This window comes from Homo sapiens, chromosome 4, assembly GCF_000001405.40.
Source record: "Homo sapiens chromosome 4, GRCh38.p14 Primary Assembly".
Classification (NCBI taxonomy): domain Eukaryota; kingdom Metazoa; phylum Chordata; class Mammalia; order Primates; family Hominidae; genus Homo; species Homo sapiens.
Window position 1 is genome coordinate 103,303,325 of NC_000004.12, and position 8,534 is coordinate 103,311,858.

Here is an 8,534-nt window from a genome sequence, read left to right on the forward strand (position 1 = left end):
AAAGTTAAAAGTGTAAGAAATTTGTTGGAAGTATACCTAGGGAAAGAAAAAAGGCAGGGCTAGCAGGAGCAAGCAGGGAAATCCTTCAGGAAATGCCACTGTTCAGGGTTTCAATTTCTTCTTGTTTTAAACTTGAGAGGTTGTATGTTTTCAGGAACTTATCCATTTCTTCTAGGTTTTCTATTCTGTGTACATAGAGGTGTTTGGATTATTCTCTGTGGGTTTTTCTATTTCTTGTGGTCAGTGGTAATGTCCCCTTTGTCATTTCCAATTGTGTTTATTTGGATTTTCTCTCCTTTTTTTCTTTATTATTCTAGCTAATGGTGTTAATCTTATTTATCCTTAGAAAGAACCACGTCCTACATTAGATCTTTTGTATGTTTTTTTTTTGCATCTCAATTTCCTTTAGTTCAGTTCTGATTTTGGTTATTTCTTGTCTTCTGCTAGCTGTGAAGTCGGTTTTTCTTGTTTCTCTAGTTCCTTTAGGTGTGCTACTAGGTTGTTAATTTGATATCTTTCTAAGTTTTTGATGTGGACATATAGTGTTATAAATTCCTTCTTAATACTGCTTTAGATGTATCCCAGAGATTCTGGTATGTGGTATCTTTGTTATTAGTTTCAAAAAATTTCTTGATTTCTGCCTTAATTTCACTGTTTACCCAAAAGTTGTTCAGGAGCAGGTTCTTTACTTTCCACATAACTGTATAGTTTTAAATGATTTTAAAGTATTTATATTTTTATTGCACTGTGGTCTAAGAGTGTGTTTGGTATAATTTCAATTTTTTAAAAGTTTGCTGAGGATTGTTTCATGGCCAATTGTGTGGTCAATTTTAGAGTATGTACCATGTGCAAATGAGAATGATGTGTATTCTGTTGCTTTTGGCTGGAGTGTTCTGTAGATGTCTTTAGGCCCATTTGGTTGTGTTGAGTTGGGTCGTGCATATCATATCTTTGTTAGTTTTCTGCCTCAATGATCTGTCTACTACAGTCAGTGGGGTGTTGAAGTCTCTCACTACTATTATGTGGTTATCTAGGTGTCTTCATAGTTCTCTAAGAACTTGGTTTTTGGATCTGAGTGCCCCAGTCTTGAATGCATATACATTTAGTATGGTTGATCTTCTTGTTGAATTGAATACTTTACCATTATGTAATGGCCTTCTTTATCTTTTTTGATTGTTGTTGGTATTCTTTTCTTTAAGAATGCTGAATATAGGCCCTGAATCTCTTCTGCCTTGTAGGTTTCCTACTGAAAGGCTCATGTTAACCTGATGAGGTTCCTTTTGTAGGTGACCTGCCCCTTCTCTCTAGTTGCCTTTACTATGTTTTCTTGCACATTGACCTTGGAGAATCTGAAGACTATGTGTCTTGGGGATAGTTATCTTGTATAGGATCTTGTAGGAGTTTTCTGCATCTCCTGAATTTGAATGTTGGCCTCTCTAGCAAGGCTGGGGAAACTTTTGTGAACATTATCCACAAATATGTCTTCCAAGTTGCTTGTTTTCTCTCCCTGTATTTCAAGGATACCAATGAATCATAGATTTGGTCTCTTTACATAATTTCATATTTCTCGGAGGTTTTGTTCATTCTGTTTTATACTTTTTTCTTTATTTCTTTCTCACTGAATTAGTTTGGATAACCAGTCTTGAGCTTTGAGATTCTTTCCTTAGCTTGGTCTATTCTGCTGTGGTCTACTTGTGATTGCATTATGAAATTCTTGTAGTATGTTTTTTAGCTGTATCAGATCAGTTTTGTTCCTTCTTTTAATGGCCATTTATTGTTTCAGCTTCTGCATCATTTCATTGTAATACTTAGATTCCTCGGACTTCAACTTTCCCTGGAATCTTGATGATCTTCATTCCTATTCAAAAAATTGTGAATTGTATGTCTGTCATCTTAGCTATTTCAGCCTTACTAAGATACTCTGGCTTTTTGAGTTGCCAGAGTTCTTGAGCTGGTTCTTTCTCACTATGTGGGCTAATGTTCCTTTAACTGTGATGTAATTTGAGTACACTTTTATTTGATTTCTTTTCTGGATGTTTTCAGAGGGCCAAGGCTTTGTGTAGGGTCTTTATTTGTAGCTGACTTCTTGTCCTTGGTTTCACAGGAGGGCATATTAGCAAAGTATTTTTGGTGTTGAATTTTGGGCTTTGATCCAGTAGATGGTGTTTAAGCATAATGGCCAATAGCTAGGCTCTTGCTTGGCCACGTGGCTCCTCTGTGTTTCCTCATGATTGCGGCTGTGCTCCCACTCAGTGCTTTGAAGTTGTGGGCTCCTCTCCTCCTTCAGTGCTGGCTGTAGATCTTGGCTTGGTATACCACAGCCCTGGAGTGAGCTCAGGCTTTATGTTCCTTCCCCAACTTGGAGGCAGCAGGGCAAGGGGCCTTGGAAGTGGCTGTGGCAGAGGCAGAGGGGCTTTCATTTGTTTCTTGGGGCTCCACTCAAAAGAAAAGCAGAGCCGCTGCCAATTGGTGTGACTGGCCTGGGGTGGGGCAGCTGTGTTGTGAGCCCAAGCTGTGGGGCCCTGCCTGGTGATGAATTGGGGGTGGGGAGCTCACAAGGGAGATAGAGTGGTCTCTTTTCCTTAGGGAGACTGCAGCTTGCTGGAGTTGTGGGTAAAGCCTTCAGGATCTTTGTTCCTTCCCCATTCTAAGGGCAGTACCACTGCAGTGGCAGGTGCAGAGGGACTTTCAGTTGCCTCTGGGAGCTCTATCTCAGAGAAATGCAGAGCCACTGTTAATGGAAATGTTCAGCCATTTCCATGTCCAGCCACTGGAAATGTTCAGCAGTGCAGGAGTGGCTGCACTGCTGGCTTGAGCTGGGGGGCCCTGATTGGCGAAGAGTGGCGGGGGGGGGGGGGGGGGGTGGAAGGATCACAGAGAGGAGAGACTGGGCTCCTTTCCATATGACAACAGTGAAGTGGCCTCATTGTTTGGGGTGACACCCAGAGCTTTTGGTCTCATGGCCAAGGAAATCAAGGATGTGACACACCAAGGATGAGGTTGAGAATAGAAATTTAATAGGAAAAAGAAAGAGAACAGCTCTCTGCTACAGAGAGGGATCCCAGAAAAAGGGTTGCTGTACTGCAGTGAAATGCAGGGGTTTTTATAGACGAGCTAGTGGGGAGGTGGTATCTGATCAGCATAGAGCATGAAAAACCAGTTAGGACCAGGTGTGCTATCTACTTAGGGTACAAATCTCTGGTAGCCCCCCACCCCAATGTTTTATTATGCAGGCAGTTCCTCAGCTTGAGCTATTCCATGTTGCTTATTTCTTTCTTACTGTGCATCTGCTAAAAAGGGGAGGTGGAACCCCCATGGTGGACGTGCCTGGTCCTTTGTAGCCCTTTCTATCTGTGCAACGGCCAGCATCCCCTCATGCAAGCTTCCAGCTTCCTTATCTATGTTTGCAGCCCAATCTTCCAGTTGCTGTTTGTTAGAAAAGAAGTGATTTCTTGGGCTGCTTTTTGTGAGAAGCGAAGTTCTGTCTGGGACTATTTGCCCTCACTATCTGTCTAAATCATTTTTATCTACTCCTGTATCAACATTGGTGTGCTGGAATTGCAAGTAAAGTTCCTAGGCTCTTAGTCGGGTGGCAGCAAGGTCAGAATCACTTCAGTGGCAGTGACAGAGCGGCTGTTGTTTGCCTCTGGAAGCTCCACCCCAGAGAAACAGAGCCGCTGCCAGTGGGAATGTTCAGCTGGGGGTGGGGCAGCTGCTCTGCAGTCATGAGCTTGGGGCCCTGCCTGGTAAAGAGTCCGGGGTGGCGGTTCACAGGGAAGAAAGTCTGGGCTCCTTTCTGCATGATGGCTGCCATGTGCTGGGGTGCCAGCATAGCGACCACACCCTTTCTTCCTCTCCCAGACCGAGAGCAGCAAGGGCAGTACCACTGAAGCTGCAATGGCAGAGGGACTTTGGGTTGTCTCTGGAGTTTCCTCCCTGGAGAAATGCAAAGCTGCCACTGACTGAAGTATTCAGGCTGGGGCAGAGTGGTTGTGCTGGGGGCCCAGGTGGAGAGGCCCTCCACGGTGAGGAGCAGCTGAGGCACGGACCTGCATCGAAACAGACTGGCCGCTTTTCTGTAAGGCAACGGAACTATGCTGAGGGTCCATGTTAGATTCTAATCACTGCTTTTCCTCTGGAGTCCGAGGGTAACAGGAGAGAGGACTGTGTAGCAGCAAACATGAGAGCCTGTCTGCTGCCTCTGGTAGCTGCGTCTCAGGGAAGTGCAGAGCTGTTCCCCGATGGAGAGCTCAGGAGTGGTTGGGGTGGCTGCATTACGGTCCCAGGCCAGTGGGCCGTGTCCAGAGAGGTGCAGTAGAGGTGAGGCCTGCTGTTCATCCACTGCTCAGTCCACGGATTCGGCCCCTATCCTGGGGGCATGCTAGGGATCCTGGCCTCCGATGTTGCAGGAGCTGCAGCTGCTGGTGCTGGGATGCCCAGGGATCAAAGAGTCCCGTACTTCTCATGTGCCTGAACTGTGACTGTGCCCAGACTCCACATGGCTGTCTTTTTCAGTCTGGAGGCCCCGGCTGGGGGAGAGTCATGGGGGAATCTCTTGATTTCAGGGTTGCAAAGTTCCGTGGCAGAAATGTGGGTCCCTAGGAACTCTCACTAGCTCACTGTTTCTTCGCAGTGGGAGTCTCCCATGGCTCTGCGCCACTCCTGGGTGGGTGGCTGTCGTGTCTCACTCTTCTCTGTTCTACATAGGTCGTGTTGCTTCCTTGATGATTCCCAGTGCGTCCTCCTGGAAGATCCAGTTGAAGAGCTAGTATTTACTCAACACTCTTCTCTCTGTGAGAGCGGCCCACACTAGTTGCTCCTAGTCATTTATCTTGGCCGGAATCTTCTCTGTTCTCTGGTTATCTCCATGTCTGCCCCCTGCCAACACTGACACATTAAAAAAAAAAAAAAAAAAAAAAAAAGATGCCTTGGAACAGTTCCAGAGGATGAAGTTTTTTTCTCACTATTTATGGGAAACGGGGAGCTTCGCAGCCAAGCTCCTCTTCAGCAGCAGCACAGACCCCTGCCTCTTGCCTCATTTCTCACTTCCACCCTGGAAGTTGCAGAACACGCATGTGCACTGCACAGGCCTGTGAAGGTGGGATCAGCACGTCCTGCCAGGCACCATCTCCAGCGCAGGATACTGGAGCTCCCTGTTGAGCAGTGCAGGTTATATAGAATAGGTTAGGAGTTAGGGCATAGGGCTTGGGTTAGGTGTTAGAATCTACATGGCTGATTCTTGCTTACACTGTTGAATTTACTTTTGAGGACTAACCTGAAAAATGGTTTCTCAGATTCCCTTGAATCACAACTTTACAGATATTTTTTGACATTTTGGCAGTAACAGTTTTTATAGTGAAGGTAATATAAAGATCAGGATGAGATAATACAGTCACCAATAAAAATATGAAAATTGTGAGCTTGAGAAAGCTGACTCTGGGGATTGAGAACATGCTTTGAAAATAAGACCAGCTATTATACATTTAGATGTTAAAACTGAATGAGATACAGAAATCAATTTGAATTTTTGGGTGTCAAGTTGATATACTTCAAGTGTCTAATTGTTTTCTAATTGACTATAAGATGATTTTATTTTTCAGAGAAAAATACTGTTGAGAAAACAGAGAAAGATTTTCTTTTGCTGCTATTTTTTGCTATTAGTTTAGAGGAGCTGAAGGTGGCAAAGTGATAAAAGAGTGCCTCAGGATTCACACAAAACTTAATAGATATTTGACTCATAAACCCACGGTGTGGTAAACCTATTCCCAGGTCAGAATACAACAGTCTTTGAGCTAACTTTCTAGTGTGTATTACACAAAGCTATTTCTTTTCTTATGCTCTTTCTAGCTGGGAGAGTGCACACAGTAAGAATTACAGTTCCCACTTTACAGGGAATTGGGGCTGTAACCACCTTCTGATAGTTGCTTCTAATTATTTTAGTATGAAAATGAGTTTTTCAAAACATATCATTAAAAAAATATTACATGTTGTAAAAAGTCAACCTGTACATAAATTTAAAGTGTTCATTCATTTACTTAGCAATTATTTGTTGAGTGCCTATTGTATCTCAGGCACTGTTCTGGTCCTGTGAATACATCAGAAAATATATCCAACAAAAATTCTTATCTTTGTGAAGCTTACATTGTAATGGGAGAAGACAGATAATAATAAAATAGTAATAAATTATATAAGATGTTTGGAGTGATAAATCCAATGGGGAAAAATAGAGCAAGCTAAGAGGGACTGGGAATACAAAGGCAGTCGGGGAGATTACAACTTAAATGAGGTGGTCAGATATTACCCCATCTATAAAGTGATATTTCAGCAAAACTTTAAAGGAAATGGGAAGATGAGTTATGAGGCTATCAGGGAAAAGAGAATAGATAACAGCCAGTGCAAAATACCTGAGGTGGCAGATGATGGTGTAGCAGGAACCATGAGGAGGTCAATATGGCTCAAGAGGGCTGAATGGGAGAAGTAGTAGAAAGTAAACTAGAGGAGTGAAATCAGGGATGAGAAAGGAAGTTGGTGGACAAACTTGGGGGAGTTTGTTATGAAGTCTAAGACTTTTTACTTGGAGAGAAATTTGGAGGCATTGGAGGGTTTGAGCAGGTAAATGACTTGTTCTGACATCTTTTTAAAGGAGTATTCTGGTTGTTTATGTTAAGAATAGAGTGTACGGGGCATGTGTGGAAGCAGAATGAATAGCAAGAAGGCTACTGTTAAAGTCCAGGAGAAAGATGCTGGCAGCCAGGATCAGGGGGTAACAATGAAGGTGGTGTGGAGTTTCTGGGTTTTGAACATGCCAGTGTTTTGAAATGACAGCCAACAAGATTTCTGGATAGGTTATATGTGGGGTTTGAGAGTGAGGAGTCAAGTATGACTCTAATCTCTTTGGCCTGAGCAGCTGGAAGGATGGAGCTGACATTGACTGAAATTGGGATGATTCAAGTCAAATAGGTTTTAGGGGAAAGATCAAGAGTTTCAGCTTGAGATGCCAGTTCATCATCCACATAGACTAAGTGAGTATTGGTTGAAAGTAGTCCCAGGCCAGAGATAGAAAGTTGGCATTTGTTTAAAGCCATGACACTGGGTAAGCTCATCTAGAGAATAAGTGTACATTGAGAAGAGATTAGGACCAATGACTGAGCTCTAGGAATTACAGTCTTTTTTTTGTTGTTGTTGAGAAACTTCTCCAATTTTGTTTTATTTTATTTTAATTAATTAATTAATTTATTATACTTCAAGTTTTAGGGTACATGTGCACAACGTGCAGGTTTCTTACATATGTATACATGTGCCATGTTGGTGTGCTACCCCCATTAACTCGTCATTTAACATTAAGTATATCTCCTAATGCTATCCCTTCCCACTTCCCCCACCCCACAACAGGCCCCGGTCTGTGATGTTCCCCTTCCTGTGACCATGTGTTCTTGTTGTTCAATTCCCACCTATGAGTGAGAACATGCAGTGTTTGTTTTTTTGTCCTTGCGATAGTTTGCTGAGAATGATGGTTTCCAGCTTCATCCATGTCCCTACAAAGGACATGAACTCACCCTTTTTTATGGCTGCATAGTATTCCATGGTGTATATGTGCCACATTTTCTTAATCCAGTCTATCATTGTTGGACATTTGGGTTGGTTCCAAGTCTTTGCTATTGTGAATAGTACTGCAATAAACATACGTGTGCATGTGTGTTTATAGCAGCATGGTTTATAATCCTTTGGGTATATACCCAGTAATGGTATGGCTGGGTCAAATGGTAATTCTAGTTCTAGATCCCTGAGGAATCGCCACACTGACTTCCACAATGGTTGAACTAGTTTACAGTCCCACCAACAGTGTCAAAGTGTTCCTATTTCTCCACATCCTCTCCAGCACCTGTAGTTTCCTGACTTTTTAATGATCGCCATTCTAACTGGTGTGAGATGGTATCTCATTGTGGTTTTGATTTGCATTTCTCTGATGGCCAGTGATGATGACATTTTTTCATGTGTCTTTTGGCTGCATAAATGTCTTCTTTCAAGAAGTGTCTGTTCATATCTTTTGCCCACTTTTTGATGGGGTTGTTGGTTTTTTTCTTGTAAATTTGTTTGAGTTCATTGTAGATTCTGGATATTAGCCCTTTGTCAGATGAGTAGATTGCAAATTACAGTCTTTAAGAGTGAATTGAAGAGATTGAAGAGAAGTAACAAGCAAAGGAGATTGAGAAGGATTGGTCAATGAGAGAAAAGGAAAGCCAGGGGAGGTGCTGTCTCAAAAAATCAAGTGAAAAAAGTGTTTTCAGGAGGATAAAGTGGCTTAAGACCTATACTGCTGACAGGTCAGGTTGCAGAAGGATTGAACATTGGCCACTGGACTTAATAATGTGGAGGTCATCTATAACTTGACAAAAGCAGTTTTGGTGGAGGCATATGGAAACAAACAGTTTTGGTGGTGTGATAGCTTGATGGAAGTGGATTTCATAGAGCATAGGAAAAGATGAATTGGAAACACTGGGTTTAGTCAACACTGAGGAATTTGCTGTAAAGGA

The 8,534-nt window shown here is 42.7% G+C and overlaps 1 annotated feature.

Moving 5' to 3' along the window:
* Nucleotides 3,544-4,061: an enhancer, noted in NCBI's record as "H3K4me1 hESC enhancer chr4:104228025-104228542 (GRCh37/hg19 assembly coordinates)". NCBI's record gives its function as "activates a minimal SCP1, AML or CMV promoter by ChIP-STARR-seq in naive H9 embryonic stem cells {active_cell/tissue: H9 hESC(naive)}" and the evidence as "EXISTENCE:reporter gene assay evidence [ECO:0000049][PMID:30033119]".